Raw genomic sequence first — 19,518 nt, 5'->3', positions numbered from 1 at the left:
ATGGTGTCCAACATGATGTTCTGAAATATGTATACATTGTGGAATGATGAAATCAAGCTAGTTAACATATCCATCACCTCACATGCTTTTCAATTTTGAGATGAGAACATTTAAAATCTATTCTTTGGGCAGTTTATTATTAATTATAGTCACTGTGCTGTACGATAGATTTCCAGAACTTATTTTTCCTGTTTAACTGAAACTTTGCACCCTTTAACCAACATCTCCCCGTTTCCTGAACCCCAGCCCTCAGTCCCTGGTAACCACCACTCTACTCTCTGCCTCTGTAAGTTCGATTTTTTTTAGAGTACACATGCAAGTAAGATCATGCAGTATTTCCGTCTGTGCCTGGCTTATTTCACTTAGCATAAAGCCCTCCAGGCTCCTCCCATTATCTCTGTTGCTTGTCCCCTATCTCCTTCAGATTGTGTTCAAATGTCACTTTGCAGTGAGGCTGTGTCTGAACCTCACTACCTTTTTAAATGGTAAACACCTCCCCCAGTGATACTTCCCATCCTGTCCGTTTCTTGTTCTATTTCTCCATGGCACTTCTACCACCTAGCAAACTATACATGTTGGTTAGCTGGCTAGTTAGTAAGTTTGTGGTTAGTTACATTCTCTGTCTGCTCTCCACTAAAATATAAGTTTCAGGAAAACAACAGAATGTGTCTCTTCTGCCCATTGCTTTATTCCCTGTGCTTAGAATGGTATCTGCACGCAGTAAATGCATAATTCATATCTGTTCAATGAATAAATAAATCCTATCCTCAAGGATCTTATCTGTTTATAAAAATGAACTATACTCTCCCTGGGTCCTGCTTCAAAACAACCAACTTCACAAATGCCACACATAAGCCACCCCCACATGGTATGCTAGCAGGCAGTGTAGGAGTCAGTGTGTTGATGGGGTAAAGGCTGGAAGATGTGTGACCTCATAGCTGTGTGAGGTCTTCCAAGGCACAGGATGGAGGGAGCCTTCTGGAGGAAATACAGAGCTAAGCATAGAAGTAGAAGCTCAGGATGGTTTAAAGCCTGATACTGCTGCTTACCAGCTCCTGCACTTATACCCTTGAGTGAGTTTTTCAACCTCCCCAAGCCTCAGTTTCCTCATCTGTGATAACTGAAATAAAAGTCCTACATGGCTTCAATGGACTGATGAACCCTCTTTTGGCCAAAAGACTGTAGAGTTTTAAGTTCCCGACCATGACAGGACAGAGACCAGATGCGCCCCGCTTGCTGCAAGTCCCTTTACCTTACTCATCATTGGCAGATCTTAATCAAAGGCTGACTTGAGGAGGACAAAAAGTCAAGCCAGAAGACTTCACTTACTTCATTCGACCACCCAGTGCCTTCCTCCTGTTTGTATGGTTCTGACCTGACAGCCACCCTGGGCCACAGAGACTTCCTTCTTGATGGATGGATGGCTGCGAACAGGTTTGGACTGGTGTCTTAAGACTGCCCAGAGGGTGGGCTTGTAGTCCATTACACCTTTCTATCTTTATGATCCAGATAGAATACATTTAAATGTTAACTCTCCACCCCAAAGTGAACACAGGTCATATGTTGTCATACGTTTCATGCATGCGAACCCAGGAATAAAGTTCTCCTTTAAATTTACTGATTCTGACTCTCATTCAACATCTGTAAACTGATGATAATATCTACCAGGTCACAATGTTGTGAAGATGAAACGGAAAAACATATGCACACTAATGCCACGCCTCATATACAGGGATGAACAGAGCAAATTCCGCTTTCCCTTCCCTTGGAAACACTGGGATGAGCTGGAAAAGGCAAGAAGGAGCGAAGAAAAAGCAGGAAGCCTTTTTTGGAATAATCTCCACATGCACGGAAATATCCTCAAATGACAGCCAAGATTTCAGGCAGACCCAGCTGGCCCTAAAAGACAACAGAAATCCAAAGATAGGAATTGAATTTGTTTCCTGAAAGCAAAAATCTCCTCAAGAGCTTTGCTGAGCTCCTCCATCTGCAGTGAGGACCCGCAAATCCAAACAAGCCTTACTCCAGCAGCAGGCTGTGGGCCAGAGTTTCCATCTTTGTCTGTAGCATCACGTCAGCCCTGGTGTGATACCAATGTTTTGCCCGAGTTTCTTAGCTGAGTATCGCCAATCACACCAAGCATTCCTCTGCGGCGGGGACAGGATCCTGTCCCAGTTTTGTGTAGCACTAACAACTCCTCTACATACAACTCTGGCATGGACATCACCTTGTAGATCCTCCAAACAGCCCTATGAGGTCAGCACATGGGACAGGGGTCACTGCCAAGCTCCCAGTTTACAGAAGATGAAAGTGAGGCTTGGAGTGATTTCATGTCTCATCCACACTCTCAGTCTAGCAGGTGGCTGATTCAAGACATGTACCTGACTGCTCCAACTTGGGTCCAGTGGCTGTTCCACTACATCACACAGCATCTGTACCTCTCAGCACTCAGGTGTTCCTAGATATGGATCAAACTAAACCTGATGTGCCGAAGAATTGCCTGGCAATGACTACTTCCATTCATTGGTATATACTCAATGCTAGGAACAGTACAAGTTATGCTGCACACACTCTTTGCTCTAAACCTCAATATAATCCTATGGGGTATTACCATCTACCCCTGCAGTTCCCTTTAGTGATAAGGAAATTGAGACCAAGAGAAGTGAAGTAACTCTATCAGTGTTGTACAGCTAGAAAGAGACAGAAGTGAGACACAAAGTGACCCCTATGCCAGACTCTTATCTGCACAGGGACACCTCTTGATGCTATGCAGGGAAGGAGTGCCTGGGGAGGTGAGGAACCCCACTCCTTTGTAAGTCTCTGGAAGGAGGCCTCTCTGGGAGAGGAAAGGAAGCTAAATGCCCCAACACTGGATCTCTTTCCCTGGTGCAAGGAAGTGTTATACAACCTCTGAAGTGGATTCAAATGTCAATCACCAGCTAAAAGATATTGGTCAATTACCCAAACTTCATGAACATCAGTTTCCCAGTCTATTAAATGGCACATACCATATAGGATTATTTTTAGAATTAACTGAAATAATCAATGCAAACCATTAAGCACTGATGTGGGGAACATGCTCCATCCCTTTTCTCCTTTCCCACGTGATGGAAGGGACAACACTGGACATTGTTCAAGAAGAACATGGAGTAAGAGGAGGTTATATCAAGCAAGGCTTGCTGGAGGTCCACAGAGACAAAGGCCAGAAGGTGCTGAGGGGCGGCAGTGCAGGCAAGGCAGTGGAGGCAGAGGCCTGCAGGAGGACAGATGCTGAAATTTCTAGAGAATCCAAATTGTACCTTTGATTATGATTTTGTCCCTTCTTGAGCAAGCTCAGCCCCAGAAAGAGAAGCAGAACCCAGAGCACTTATCTCATCCTCAACCTTCCATCACTCACTTGCCACACACAGGGCACAGCCAGGCCTCTCTCTCCCAATGCAATCTGGAAGCTGTGGACTCAGACCCACACGGTCTCTACCAGAGCTTGTGGGGCTCCGCAACTGTAGGCTGACCCCCATCCCTCAAGGCTCCTCCCTCCAGTCTCTTACCAAGGCTGTGGTTACTCCTTTTCCTCACCTAAAAGGCATCATTTTTCCTGTTCAAGGCAGTACTGTACAATAGTAGGGGATGGGGGAAACTGAGGCATGCAGGGTGGCAGAGTAGCCATGACTATCCTTTGCAGGGCAGCATCATCTCCCATGGGTTTGAAGGACAGGGAGCCTGCAGGTGGCTTTGCTCTGTGCCACCTCCCCCTGCCATTCCGTAGACAGCTGCCTGCCGGTGGGGAGGCGGGAAGCACATCCATCTCTCCAGAATTGGCCTCAACCTGGCTTTTTAGTCCCTGAGGTTGGGCTAATACACAGCTAATTATGAATGTTTCTGGCCCGGGTTCCTTGCCTGAAAAGCTGCCACATTCAGCATGGCTTACGAAGTCCCAGCTATGTCGACAGCCCCCAGATTCCTTGAAGGCTGAGGAGATGCCTCCAATGGCCATTGCCTGCAGATGCAAGGTGAACATCAGCAGCCCTGCCAGAGTCATGAGTTTCCTGAACCAGAGATCCGCTGGACCTACAGAACATTGGAACACTTCCTTTTCAGCAGAGTTCTGATGCCTTTAGAATTGCAGATTTGTTAAAGCACCAGCTCTTCACAAAACCTTGAAAATGAATGGAGACTGCCCAAAAACAAACCCTCCAGGACAATGATGTCTGTAGATGGTCCCACCATGAGCTTGCTCCCTCCCTTCCTCCACCCTCCCAGGCACCCAAACCTGCCCCAGGACCACAAGCACAGGAAGTCATGTTAGGGTGCTTTGGCCACAGGACAGAGGATGGATGGAAGTGGCAGTAAAATAAATAGGTCTTTATAGTCAGAAAGCCATGGTGTGAATCCTGGCCACACCGTTTATAACCTGAGTGACTAGGGACAAACTGCTTCATCTCTCTGAGTCTTGGTATTTCCACTGTAAGATAGGGAATGGTATCAGTCCTGAAATGTGGTTATGAGAATTACAGCACAGAATTCAAGGCAGAAGGCCTGACACGGAGCCAAACACATAATAAGCACATAATTTACCTGCCTTCCACAGTCAGGAAAGGAGACATTGAGAAACACATTGAAGATGATGAAGTAATAGGTTTCTAGCTTGAGATCAATGGATGTCAAGAATCCAGCTGTCAAAGCGCCCAGGTTCTGAGGCCATGGTGGTCAGTTGGTTACCAAGCAATGGAGTCTTAGCTATAAGCAGTTTGGTAATTTAAGTTGATGGGGTCCTGGGAAGCCCTCAGCCTCTCCCTCCAATATGTTTCTCTCCCTTGGCTATCAGGGGGTTAAAATTCCTCCACAAGAGCTTCCCTGTAGAGCCGTAGAACTGTTCCTTGTTAGAAGCTGTCAAAGAATGATGACTCTAAGGCACTGATGATGTAGTATCACCCCCATCTCCCATCCCATCAGGAACGCCATAGCCTACGGGATTGAGTAAGACTCCTTGGCAGAGCTCTCAATGCTCTTTAAAATCTAGCTCCATATATAGCTTCCCAGGCTCATCTCCAGCCATGTTTTATGACATTGTCACCACATCACTTGCTTAGTTATCCATCCTCAAACTTGCCATGCCCTTCCACAGCTCCTCACTTTAGCCTTTGCTGTTCCTCTTCCTGAAACACCCTGTCTTGCATGTTCGTCTCATGGACTCAAGTGTTAAGTCTCATCCCAAACACTCAAAACCCCTTGCAGGTGAGTACCATGCTTCTGCCCAGGGCTGAGGAAAGAGGGAAGGGAGAAGGTGGCTGTCATGTCCTGAACACCTGCTACCCTGGCCAAAGCACTGTGCTGGAGGATTCATAGAGGCATACTTACCTGTTTTAATCTGCAGGACAACCCTGGGACTATGTATTTTCTCAATTTAGAGAGAGGAGAGAACTGAGATGTAGGAAGTTAAAGTAACTTCTTTCCCAAAGTTACAGGGTTAGAAAGTATAACAGGGAGATCTAACCCCAAAGCCAGGGCACTTGCCCATTACCTCACACTGCCTCCCTTCGCTGTGAAGCATGACAAGTGCCTGAGATGGGGGTTCACAGAGGCTCTGGTGGTCTCATGGCCACCTCTGACACGGGGTTCTGGCTTCTGAACTCACTTCCTTGTGTCTGCCCAGCGGCCACACAGATGAGTAACCCACCTCCTCCTTACACTTCCCTCTCTTGGCCACCAGTGCCAAGCAGTCACAAGGGTGCTGGACTTCACTCAAGTCATCAAGCCTGATCTCATAGGAAGGGCCATCTAGGACTCTTCTGTTGCCAGGGATGTCTGCCTGTGGTCCTTAGGTTAGAGCAGAAAGGAGAGAAAGTAGCTCGTGGTGAAAACAGAAGTCACCAAGGGCCTACTACATGGAAATACTTGGCAAGTAAGTGGCCAAACAGGATGGACCCATCCATGTCAGAGTCACCAAATGTCCGTCCTCTCTGCCCAGTAGTTCTAAGCCTCCCTCCTGGGTCTTCTTTCTCAGTTTGCCCCCAGGTTCCATGCTACCCCTCTGGGCTTGGCACTCCAAGTCCACTCCATGCATCTCACTCTGTCCTCACAGGGCCTCAGGCTCCCGCAATAGCTCCCACGTTTACATCTTCAGCCCTGACCGCCTTCCTTCCTTCCAACCCTGTGATTCCCCTGCTACTAGATATCTTCTCCCAAGTATGCCAGAGGCACGAGTCCAAAATGAGCTTGATCATCCTTCTTCCTCTTCAACAAGCACTTGTTTTTCCTAATTCCTTTATCTTGCATGACAACACCCACCGAGTTGTCCAGGTCATAAACCCAGGTGTGTTATTCTTGACTCCTTCATCTCATCCCTTGCCCGTGTCCAGTCAGTTACTGCGTTCTGTAGATTAATGTCTCTCTTATCAGCCATTTCCCTCTATTTCTAGACCACTGTTGTAACTCAGGACTTATCTCTTTTTTTTTTTAGACGGAGTCTCACTCTGTCGCCCAGGCTGGAGTGCAGTGGTAAAATCTTGGCTCACTGCAACCTCCACCTCCCGGGTTCAAGCGATTCTTCTGCCTCAGCCTCCTGAGTAGCAGGGACTACAGGTGCACGCCACCATGCCTGGCTAATTTTTGTATTTTTAATAGAGACATGATGTCACCATATTGGCCAGGCTGGTCTTGAACTCTTGACCTCGTGATCCACCCACCTTGGCCTCCCAAAGTTCTGGGATTACAGGCATGAGCCACTGTGCCTGGCCAGGACTTATCTCTTAATGGGTCTCTCTGCTCTCTGCTCCTTTGCAAGTGACAGCAACAGTAGACTTTGCCAGACCAAATCTTATCTTGTTCTCCCCTTTGCAAACCCATCAGCACCCCTGTACAACTTTGAGAGACAGACTCTTACTTCTTAAATCCACACATGACACCCTAGGGGATCAGAACACCCCTGCTGTCTAGCCTTGTTTCCTGCTGCTCTCCCAGTCATAAAATATGATCCACAGTCCCTAAGCCCCAATCTGTTTCGCACTCTGTGTCACACACACCACTCTCTGCCTCAAGTGCCTTTCTCACCCTGCCCAGCCAACTCTTACTCACTCTTCAAAGCCCAGTCCAGGTGTGGCCTCCTCTGGAAAGCCTTGAATGGTGCCAGTCTGCTTTAAAGGTGGGTTCACTGCTGTCATAGAATAACACATTGCACCTTCTGATCATCCACCTTCACACTTGAACACGGGCTCTGTTTGGTTTATCTTTGGATTGCGTTTGGAATATCATTCATGACTCCTCCCTGCAGGGAGTACTAAAAACAACGCTGCCGAGAGAGTGGTGTGTGTCCCTGTGCATGTGCGCACACACAGGCATGCACACGCACCTCTGGCTGGCCCAGGTCCTGGCATAGGGCCAATTAATACATGTTCACTGAATGCATGAAAGAATGGATGGAGGAACGAACGAATGAATCCAGGGAACATCTAAGAACCCCACTAAACTGAACGTTCCTCAAAGAAATACTCAGATGGGAAAATCACTATTTTTTTCTTCATACTCACAGTGACAAAATGCCCAGACACTTTCCATCTTCTCCATTAAATGGGTAAAATTGGGCTTCTGGCCACATTGGCCCTGGCAGGATGGAGGAGAGGAGGTGAGGAGTCTTTCTGAATGGTGTATTTTCCTCTCTTGGTTTTCTTAGCTGCCAATTCTAATTCACAAGTTCAGATGCACCTGAGGACAACCCAATCCAAAGCATCCCATGCAGGAACCAGGCCCTCTCACCCAGAGCTGTCAGAAAGGCCACTTGGGAATCACTGCATCTCAGACTTGATGTGAATAAGAACCCCTGATGACTTTGCTAAAGCTTTCTTGGCCTCACTTCCAGATTTCCTGATTTGATGGATCTAGAGAGGGGCCCAGAAAACATGATTTTACTGAGCAAGCTTCACAGGTTGTTCTGGTACAAGTTGTTGGTAAATCACACTTTAAAAACACTGCTTTAGGCTGGGCATGGTGGCTCACGCCTGTAATCCCAGCACTTTGGGAGGCTGTGGTGGGTGGATCATGAGGTCAGGAGTTCAAGACCAGCCTGACTAACATGGTGAAACCCTGTCTCTACTAAAAATACAAAAATTAGCCAGGTGTGGTGGTGCGTGCCCCGGGAGGTGGAGGTTGCAGTGAGCCAAGATCATGCCACTGCACTCCAGCCTGGGCAAGAGAATGAGACTCTGTCTCACAAAAAAAAAAAAAAAAAAAAAACACTGCTTTAGGTGTTTAGAAAAAAGTCCCACCCATTCCTAAGCCAAATATAATTTGCTTCGATTTTTCATAGACCTACTCTGGGATAAAGTGCTCTGAAGATCAAATATATTTAATATTCTGTTCAGGGCCAATGGAAGCAATCACTTCTCAGCTTGGAGATCCTATTAGGAGAGCAGATGATTTAAGTGTTTAGAAGACTGAGATGCGTTTGGAATATCATTCATGACTCCTCCCTGCAGGGGATACTAAAAACAATGCTGCTGAGAAAGTGGTGTGTGTCCCTGTGCGTGTGCACACACACAGGCATGCACACACACCTCTGCATGTGGATGTTCATCTCATCTTCTACAAACACAATTTTGTCACCTATTTCACCATTTGGGGTAAAACTTAACCCATTTTAGAATAAAATCAAATTTTGGAGTCTAATGCAGAGGGAGAGGGGTTGTGTAGAAGGAAAACAACACATTTGTGTTTCCACTGTACATTATAAATATGAAGATGTAAGAAACTCTCTGGAGCCTTGCTATTCATATGCAGAAAAAGCTAAGTTTCATCTACATATTCCTGTACACATACACATTTAATGTTGTTCTAAGTGAAGAAAAATCATAATTTAAAATTATTAACATGAATGTTATCATTTCTCTTTACATTGAACAATGCCAGTTATAAGTGCAAATATAAGAGCATTGAACTCACATGTGAAGTCACTTCAAATACAGTTGTATTTCATAGCTTATACATGCATTTTTATTTCATTCTGACCAGAAGAGTGGAAACCCTGCACAGAACAAACTCAACTGTTTCTATTTCACTCTTAATATGTGCATTTTCTGCCAGCACTCTATGGAAGCTGGCAGTTTCCATAATACCTTGTACTGGCTTAGAGTCTCTCTGAACTCTCACCAGAATTCTGCACTCATGGGCATCATGAATCCTGTGTGTGAATGGGGCATCCCCAGATGTGTGCATACTCCATTGTCCCACTAGATTTCACTTGTAAAACACAAGTTCAAAAAAAATTATCAAAAACTTCAAGATGGCAACACCAGATCATTAAAGCAAGAACAAGCGCCTTCTGAGTGCAGTGCCTTGTGCAGTTGTCCAGGCTGCATGCCCAAAAAGGTGGCCCTGTAAGTCCTGTGAAGTCTATGGCAGACAAGTGTGAGAGATCTAGGGGTGAGAGGCTCTTGACCTACATCAGCAAAGGTGAAGGAGAGAAAAACTGCATTGGGGTGAGCTGCACTTTCGAAGACAGTAGGGCAGGGATGAATGAAGCCAACTGCCCAGGAAGGCTTCCTGGAAGGCCAGAGGGTCCACGAAAGGGGCAGAGGGTTGGAGTAAGTGACGAGTGCCAACTGGGGAGGAGATCAAACCCATAGCACAAGAACTCCAGCTTGAAGTGCCCAGCAGGGAACCTTACGGAAAGTCACCGGGGAGCCCCAGGGGAAGATAAGGTGGCCGCTGTACAGCAGCCATCCAGATGGCCCCAATGCCACATCAAATCTGCACCAGCCAAGGGAGGCCTTCTCTGCCCCATCTCTGCTCTCTTCTGCCTCCACCTCCAACTCTGCAGGCATCAGGAGCCACAGCTGGAGGACAGTGGAGGAGAAGTCAAGAATAAGGCTGGGGAAGCAGAAAGAAGCCATCGTGTGTCCAACCAACTTCAGTCTTTCTGTTCTAAAGGAGGTCCCAGCAGAGGGACAGCAGAAGATTTAACTTTGAAACAAGTTCATGGTTTTATTGCCTAGATGGGACATTTCAATTACAGAAAAGGAACTGTTCCCATAATAAAAAAGACACTAGAGGATGTTCCACTACCTCAAAGTGACAGGAGCACACAGGCTCATGTTTGGCTTGAATAAACAGAGTTAATGTGTTTTCAGCTCAAAGAAATGTTTTCCTCTGCATACACACACACACACACACATCACACACACACACACACACACACACACTACACACATCACACACACACACAACTCTGCCATGTGCATCCTCTAAGTTCACCTAACCATCTATCCACAGATACACTTGTGTCACCTTTTCTACCATTTGAGATAAAAATCTAACTCATAGAAGAATAAAATCAAATCTCAAAGTCTAATGAGGAAAAGCGTCTGTGTAAAGGAAAAAAATCATGTTCTCACCTTCACTGTATATTATGAATATAAAAATTTAACATAAGGAACTCCCTGGAGCGTAGCTTTCTTCCACCCTTCTGTGAGTTTTTTTGTTTGTTTGACTGGTTGGTTGGCTTGTCTGTTTTTGTTTGCTTGCTTGCCATTTGATTGGGATTTTTTTAGTGATAGGGTGATCATTGTGTCCAGATGTGGACTTGAACCCCTAGCCACGTTCCCAGCACAGAATCTAGGGGATGTTTTCTTAGGCAGTCTAAGACTACCGAGTACAGTTCTTTTACTTGAAAACATTAAAATGCCTTTAGATTCTCCAGTTCAAAAAAAGTATGTGCATTAAAAAAACAAATTACTAATATAATATATCCTCACCAAGGTGCCCAACTGAAGATTTCTGACCACTTCAACCTGGTGGATTCTGGTGCTTAATCCTGAATCCAAAGAAATAAAATGAGCTGTGAAGAAAGAACTAAGATAAAGTGTATGTATTTCCTATTTATTTTAAAGTGAGAGGAATTTTATTCCTCAACCGTTTTATATCATGGGAAAAATTATTCTTTTCTGGATTTTAAAACTTCTTATCTACTTGCAACACAAAAACAGGTTTTTAGGGTTTTTTCAGGATTTATAGTTCTATAACATAAATAACTCAGCATAAATAAAGGTATTAAATCATCATATATTCAGAGCTTTTGGGGAAAATTAATTGTATTTCCAACAATAATAACATTCAAAACCTTTATATTTCTACCTTAGGCTCCAACACAAGTCTTCCTTCAGGCCTCTTGAATGATCATCTTCCTAACAAAGCAACAACAATGGCAATTGCAATGAATAACTGTATCAAATATCATTTTTGAGGTCTTTCTACGTGCCAGGCTCTATGTGAAAGGCTTCATTTGTATTGACCACTCAGTTCTCACCAAAACCCCATGAATTTTACAGATGTAGAATCCAAGGCCAGATCGGTCCCCCATTCTGTTGCAGTTCACTGAGCTAGGATGCAGCAGGATCAGGAGGCAGCCCCAGGCAGGCTGGTGCTACAGTGGTGTTTGGAACACCTCCTCTGGGTGACTGAAGACCACGCCTCTACTTGGAGGGATTCATAATATCATCGGCACCAGAAGTTCACAGATTTCACAGACAGGTGCGAGTTAATGATATGGGTTCTAGACCCAATATTTTACTAAATCACACAGTGGATCTTAAGAGAGGCATTTAAAGAGTTTCCCCATCTGGGTAATGGAGATAATGGAAGGAGCCCTACCAGCTGCAGAATGTTGATATGGAGTCAAAAGAGCAAAAAAGTGTGATCCTTAAATCAAATATCTAGTTCTTAATAACTCATTATCTTTAATGCTTCAAAACCTTTGTAAAAACATTTCAACTGTTGAGATAAGTGCTAATTTAATGAAAGGTGTATTAGTCCATTCTCATGTTGCTATAAGGACAGAGACTGGGTAATTTATAAAGGAAATAAATTAAATTGGCTCACAGTTCTGCAGGGCTGGGGAGGGCTCAGGAAACTTACAATCATGATGGAAGGAGAAGCAAACACATCCTTCTTCCCAAGCGGCAAGAGAGAGAAGAATGAGAGCCAAGCGTAGGGGGAAGCCCCTTGTAAAACCATCAGCTCTGGTGATAACTTACTATCACAAGAATAGCCTGGGGGAAACCACCCCCATAATTCAATTACCGCCCACTAGGTCCCTCTCACCACACTTGGGGATTATGGGAACTACAATTCAAGATGAGATTTGGGTGAGGACACAGCCAAACCACATAGGAAGGAGGGAAGAGAAGAAGAAAAGGAGAGAGAAAGGGAGGAAGGGAGGAAAAATGGAGAAACTAAGATTAAAACAAAACCCCCAGTGAAGAAATGGCAGAACTGAGATTAGAATCCAATCTTTCACTCAAAAACCTAATATGAGAATAAATTGTGATATTTGCCTTTTAATTTAGTTTGTGGTAGTTTTTGAAATGCGGTTGACTTCTTTGGACATTTCAGAGGAAATCTCACCCTTGGAAATGCCTTACACACGTCATGGCCATGCTGGAGGAAAAATGGGGATTATAATCACCATCTCATGAAAGATACACTCAATATAACAGAAAGATCATGCTTAGTTAAATTAAGTTGCTCCATGAAGACTTACCTGATAAAGATGCATACAAACTGAAAAGAACTGGTGTTCTCCAGTGTTGAGCAAAGCCTCATGTCTTCCTGATTTCCCACCGTGTCTCAAGTTTGAGGTTTCTGCAGGGAGAATAATGCTATCACCTCAGAGCCAAAGGCTGCTGGAAGGCCACGTGTCACTCTCATAAGCCCACTCATTATTATTATTATTGGTGTTGTTCTTGCCCTCATTATTTTCATTATTTATTAGTGGCCTTGTTCTTACAGTGAGTAAATTATTCTCTGGAAGTAATCTGTTCCCCCAGGTGAGTGAATAAAGACTTCCTCTTTTCAGAGTAAATGCTTTTTTTTTTTTTTTTTGGCCAAAATGCATACCACTCCCTTACAGTGGCCATTTCATAATGTGATTGAACCTAATTGTATCATCTGCTGAAGGAGGAGGGTCACCAAAATGGCGGCCCCCACGTTTCCTAACCCCCTGTGAAAGCCCCCAACACAGAAAGGAAAGGATAGCTGTGAACTAGGGGAAATGCCTAGCAGATCAACAAAACCCCACCTAGGAGAAAACAATCATTCATTCCCTCAAGAATTGCCCACCCCCACCATCTCACAGGTCTGAAATTGCAGAATGCCAATGTCTCCAGGGGACAGGCAGATGACAGAAGCTCCGGCGACTCACACATGTGAAGCAGGGGAATGCTGCAAGTCGTGGGGACATTAGTGTTCCTCTCTCACTGCAGTGTTAGTGTTGCCAGCCTCTCAAATGTTTTCAAGAGATGCAGGAAGTCGAGACTTTTGGGTGAAATGGTACACTCTTCAAATTTGGTAACTATTTTTTTTTTTTTTTTTTTTTTTTTGTGAGACGGAGTCTCGCTCTGTCGCCCAGGCTGGAGTGCAGTGGCACGATCTCAGCTCACTGTAAGCTCCGCCTCCTGGGTTCATGCCTTTCTCCTGCCTCAGCCTCCCAAGTAGCTGGGACTACTACAGGCACCCGCCACCACACCCGGCTAATTTTTTGTATTTTTAGTAGACACAGGGTTTCACCGTGTTAGCCAGGATGGTCTTGATCTCCTGACCTTGTGATCCGTCCGCATCAGCCTCCCAAAGTGCTAGGATTACAGGCGTGAGCCACCACGCCCGGCCTTCAAATTTGGTAACGATTTTGTTCTAATTTAATACACTGTATGGGCCAAACAAAAGCCAGTTTTTGGCCAATCACGTGATAGCACTTCAAGCGGGCTTCTACATAACTGAAGGAACAGCCTGTCCAGTAGGTGACCAGTGATCAGAGGCATGGATAGGAGTCCAGTGCAGGATGGCATTTGAATGCTCTTCATATTTGAAACTCTGAATTTAATAAAATTACCCTGGCAGGCTTCAATGCATGCAGCCACTGGAAAAACCTGTCTGCCAGTGGGGTGGGAGGGGTTGAATGCTAACTTCTCTGAGCCTCAGTTTCTCCAGCTATAGAATAGTAGGGAAGACAACAGTACTTATAAGTTTACTGTAGGGATTAAAATGCAGTAATACAAAAAATGAGTCAGACTAGAAACCTCATGGTAGGTGTTCCGTAATCTTAGTTCCCAGCTCCAGGCAAACAGCTATGTGACCTCGGGCATGTCCCTTTATTTTTCTGGACTACAAATGCACAAGCGCTGGGTTTGGGCCACGTTATCTCTGTAGCTTCTTGTGTGTTGCTGTTCTGGGACCCCCTGAGGACGGCCTTCCGCTCCCTAACGGTGCGGCCCTGTTGACATTCTGTTCTCTCGATAATTGCTAGGATGGCTTTACCAACACGGTTACCTCAGAATTGAAATCCAGCAAAGGAGTCATTAGCAGTTTAACTGCATTTAAAATATACATATATAAGATCTCCAGATCTCCCACAATGCTATCTAAAGGACAAACGATTGTCATTTAAGTTTTGACATAATTATTAACATTTAAGGTTAAAATGTTCACTGCTCGATAATCCTTCCTGAGTAATTGCAGTGTTTCTAGCTGAACTGGAGGCTGATAAATGACTTGCCTGGAAGTTGCTAGGGAAGCACTAACTTCACAGGATGAGTGAAGGGAATTAAATCGTAGGACCTGGAAGAGACTGTCATGTCTTTCAAAGAATAACCCAGTTAACTACAGCAGGGCGGGGCAGAGCAGGGAGCGCTGGAGCAAATCCAGCTCCCCACCAGAGCGAGACGTGCTATGCAGGGACCAAAGCAGCTGCCGCTGTGCCCGGGGAAAGATGCCATTCATCACACCCCTCTGACCCCCTCCATATGTGATGCTATTGCTACACTCCATCATCATCATCACATCTCCCCAGGTACCAGTCAGTTTTTGCAGCAAAACAACACAAAATCTCTGCCGCGTGACAGTATTATTTCTCACTCTGGTCTGTGGGTCTGCTGGGTTGGCCACACCTGGGGTTCACTCCAGGTCTGCTCCACGTGTCCGTCATCCTCAGGCTTCCTGGGCACAGTCCTCTCGTGGTGATGGCAGACAGCCTGAGGACAAGCAGACACACACAAGGCCTCCTCGGACCTCAGCGCAGACTGGCGCACTGAAACTTCCACCCAATTCTACAGGCTGGAACAGCCACATGGGTAAGCCCAGCCTCAGAGGGAATGGAGGGGGATAGACTCCTCCCATGGTGGGACAGGGGAGTGAATATTTGCTGAACAGTCATCTAATCTATTGCGCCCCTAATTACCTTGAGCCTCTGAGGACAGGAATTATTCTTATTCCTTCCCCAGCACACTGCCCAGCATAGCTCTAGAAAAGGTGACTCTGACTCTTTGCTGAAATCCAATCCAATGATACCCAGTGGTGGGGCACTCAGGCCACAGGCTATAATAATATGGAAGTCCAGGTAGGCAAGCTGGCATCAGGGAAGTCTGTTAGAAATGAATAGAGCTCCAGCTATATTACACTTTTCTGAGAAGTGGGCTGTAAAAGGAAGTAGTGTCACGTCTAAAAGTTCTGGAGCCACAGGCCAGTGATTAAACTGCGCACAGAAGAACAATGACAGTAGCCAGGGCTGAGGTGGCCACAGGGCTCAAGAACAAGCAGATGCTTAGTCCTGAGAGCCATGACAGCAGGCAGGAGCAGAACCACAGCGGGGCCAGGATTCCTGAGCAGGACGGGGCTCTCTCTTAAGCTCGGATGGTCCTAGTACTCTGGGGCTTGGCAGCATGGTGAGCTGCAAAGACGTGGGCTTTAGTATTGCAGACACCTGGAGCCTTTCATCTATCTAATCAGGTAAGCTTTCTAACCTTCAAAACTTGACTTCTTCATCTGCGAAATGGGACTAACACCCTTTACTTCAAACTGTTTTACTGAGGTTTAAATCAGATGACGTGTTTAAGGTGCTTGGTTCATGATACATGTTCCAAAACATGTTAGCTCTGCCTGGGCCTGCCTCCTGCACTGGTGCATAGATTGCATGTGGGTCCAGTGTCAGAGGCATGGAGAGAAGAGTTAAGTGGGCCTCTAACCAACTGTATCTATAAGACACAAGTCCTTTAGGCTGAACATTTGTGTTGCTGCAAAACAAGTTCATAAGGTCTTGTCCTTCTCTTCCCAAGAGGCACTAATTGCAAACTGATCATTTCTCTTTCTCTTCCCAATATACAGTGATTTAAGATATTATCAGAAACAGGTCCAGTCCTGTCTTAGTCCAATCAGGCTGCTATAGCAAATTACCATATAGACTGGGTGCCTAAAACAACAAATATTTATCTCTCACAGTTCTGGAGGCTGGAAGTCTGAGATCGTGGTGCCAGCATGATTCTCGGTAAAGTCCTTCTCCTGAGTTGCAGACGGCTGACTCTTGCTGTGGCCTCCCATGGTGGAGAGTCAGCTAGCTAGCTCTCTGGCCTCTTATAAGGACACTAATTCCATCCATGAGGGCTTCACCCGCAAGACTGAATTGTCTTCCAAAGGCCCTATCTCCTAATACCATCACCTTGGAACTAGGATTTCAACATAGGAATTTGAGAGGGAAAAACATCACACTGTAGTGGGTCCCTTCACCTCCAAATAATAATATTTTGTATATGATGAAGGGTTTTTCTCCTCTGGTCTCTCATGGAACTGTCAAAGCCATCCAAGGAAAGACAGGTGTTATAGACTGAATATGTACGTCCCCCTATAATTCATATGTTGAAACCCTAACCCCCACAGTGAAGCTATTTGGAGATGGAGCCTTTGGGAGATAATTAGATTGAGAAGAGATCATGAAGGTTGGGCTCCCATCATGGGATCAGTTTCTTTGTAAGAAGAGGAAGGAAAAACTAGAGCTCGCTTGCTCTCTCTACCATGTGAGGGCACAGTGGGAAGGAACCATCTGCATGCCAGGAAGAGGGCCTTCACCAGGGCTGAATTGGCCAGCATCTTGATCATAGACTTCCAGCCTTCAGAATCATGAGGAACAAATGTCTGTTTAAGCCACCCAGCTTATGATCTTCTCTTATGGCAGCCCAAATTGATGAAGACAACATGTAATATTGTCTGCCTTTCCAAGATGAGAAAAATGAGGCTGAGATTGGTTAATAAGTGACTTTCTTGAAATCATACAGGACAGTCCTTCCATTAGTAATTGACTTCCTGTAAGCCAGAAGCTATTTAACACACAAATCCTTCTGAAAGAGGAATTGCACTCCAAGGCTTTCTGTCACCTTCTTGAGGTCATGCTCACCTGGTCAGGGGATTTTGACAAGTCATGACAACCAATTGTTTCCTCAAAAATACTCAGAACTCATCCACTTGGCAGCTTGACAGTATTTTAAAAGAAATGCCCATTGTTCAGTATCTTGAGGAATGATATTAATGGACCCAAATTTAAGTGGAAGATCATGCAAAATGTAGAACTGGCTATCTCCTAGGAAACTGGAAACAGGGAAGGAAACAAGATAAAAACCACCGCCGATGTGATGTTTCGGGAAGGAAAGGGTGAGGGCAGTAATATCCTTTCTGGATTTTCGTTTGCTTGTTTTTATAGCACATACGTTCCTATCATTCTGCTAAAATTCTTCATATATCTAATAGTTTTATCTTGGAAGGAAAGGGTCAACAGCTTATTGTCGCCTTTCCTCTAGCCTCAGGGGAGCCCAAGATTTGATCTTCAGGTAAATCCTTCTTGCAACACTAACTTAAGGAATTCATAGAGGCATAATGGATCCAATATAACTGCTATACACAGATTCAGCTCCAGGGCCTTATTACTGAGGTTGCTTAGTTCATAACCTACAATTGATGAGTAAGTGGTAGCTGATAAGATATGGCTGAACTGAGAATAGACTCTGGTCAGCAACCCCTGAGAAAGGAGTAGCAAGGCGTAAAAGCCACAAGTCCCCAGAACTGATTGCTGTCTGTGCCCACTAAGCTTTGTTTGTGACCATAAATATTACAAGTATACACTGATTTCAAGACATGCTTGGGGACTGCCAAGACCTCCATTATGTTGCTGATGTGTGTGCTGTGCTAGTGCCTTTCATGTTCTTTCTTAAAGTTAAATTAGTGCTGGGTGAAGCCCATAGTGTCTCATGAGTTCAGCAGTCAGTGTGAACCCCAAACCATTGCCGTCAGTCAAGCAGACTGGGCAGTGGGATCCTAGACCAGTTCTCAAAAAGGGAACTCCACTGGTATTGCACCATTAGCTGTAGGTACTCTTGATTGCCATTACCCTCCTCCTCCTCTCTCTAATAGAATTCCTAGGGGTTGGGCACTCCAGGGGAAAGATGGATCCAGCCTCAGCTGAATCACATGCCAACCAAGGCTGTCAAATTCCTCTTGCTGGTGAAGGTTGGTGGGTAGGCATTTAATCAGCTGGCTAGATAGACAAGAAGGGAGGGCCTCAAAGATTCCCAAGAAAGTGATCCTTTCTTTTTAAGAAGGAAGACTTGGAAGAGGTGGCATCTTTTTGCATCTGGACATTGCGAGGTCTAACTGTGATCGCTGGAAAGGAGTTGCCACTTATGAACAAGAGGGAACCATCCAGAGGGCTAAGGTGGCACACTGAGGAGAGTAGCTATTAGCAAGAGAAACTCCTTTTGATGTGATCGCTGTGCTTCTCCTTGTGACAGACCTACAGCTGCGCTACTACTAAGCTTCTTCTTATATGCAATAATACACTTTCTTATCATTCCAGCAAACTTGGATTACTGTCTTCTCTTACAGCCAAGAGTGCCCTAACTCACAAGGTCAGTAAGTGGTGGAGAACTTGAGCAAACCATTATCTCCCCAGCTCCACCACTTAATGACCCTGTGTGGTCAGTGTATTAGTCCATTTTCATGCTTCTGATAAAGACATACTTGAGACTGGGTAATTTATAAAGAAAAAGAGGTTTAATGGACTCACAGTTCCAGGTGGCTGGAGAGGCCTCACAATCATGGCAGAAGGCAAAAGGCACATCTTACATGGTGGTAAACAAGAGAGAATTACAGCCAAGAGAAAGGAGAAACCCCCTATAAAATCATCAGATCTCATGAGACTTATTCACTACCACAAGAACAGTATGGGGGAAACTGCCCACATGATTCAATTATCCCCCACCAGCTCCCTCCCACAACAGATGGGAATTATCGGACCTACAATTCAAGATGAGATTTGGGTGGAGACACAGCCAAACCATATCAGTCGGTGTGCCAGACAGGGACACTGACCACACAGGGTCAGTAATGTTAGTTATCATAATGGGATAATCTGGTCTGGAGATGGAATGGCATCAGGAAACCAGGGGCAGAAAGTTCCCAGTATGGAAGCAGAGACCAGAGGGGACCCGCCATCAAAGCAGATGGGAGTGCTCAATTCCACTAAGTCAGGCAACTCTGTTGCCATTGATTTTGCACTGACCCAGCAAGCCTACGGTCATCTGACAGCACCAGGTTTGAAAACTCCCAGGTAAATATACGCAGTTTATTTGGGGAGAATTGCTGGCATAATATGAGAGCCTATTTGTGTATGGGTATTGAACAGGGGAATTCAAAATGTATGGGCTATGAAAATCC

The 19,518-nt window shown here is 45.2% G+C and overlaps 1 long non-coding RNA gene across 6 annotated transcripts in view, besides 1 other annotated feature; it reads right to left on the bottom strand.

Annotated features, from left to right (window-relative positions):
• Window positions 1-19,518, bottom strand: part of LOC105373592 (uncharacterized) — a 530,486-nt gene that overhangs the window by 199,490 nt on the left and 311,478 nt on the right. For 3 of the 6 annotated variants that reach the window (XR_001739684.2, XR_007087222.1, XR_923281.3), the window contains exon 3: window positions 12,530-12,630. This is a non-coding gene — a long non-coding RNA (uncharacterized LOC105373592). Of the gene's footprint in view, window positions 1-8,264; window positions 11,175-12,034; window positions 12,427-12,529; window positions 12,631-19,518 lie in introns of those variants that run through there. The other 3 variants (XR_923280.3, XR_001739685.2, XR_923282.3) reach the window with 3 other exon arrangements.
• Window positions 11,430-11,630: a silencer, noted in NCBI's record as "peak3842 fragment used in MPRA reporter construct". NCBI's record gives its function as "represses an SCP1 promoter by STARR-seq MPRAs in K562 erythroleukemia cells {active_cell/tissue: K562}" and the evidence as "EXISTENCE:reporter gene assay evidence [ECO:0000049][PMID:32103011]".

The sequence above is a fragment of the Homo sapiens genome, chromosome 2 (assembly GCF_000001405.40).
Source record: "Homo sapiens chromosome 2, GRCh38.p14 Primary Assembly".
In the NCBI taxonomy this organism is placed as follows: domain Eukaryota; kingdom Metazoa; phylum Chordata; class Mammalia; order Primates; family Hominidae; genus Homo; species Homo sapiens.
Note: the sequence above shows the minus strand (reverse complement) of the source record. Positions and strands in the feature narration are given on the sequence as shown.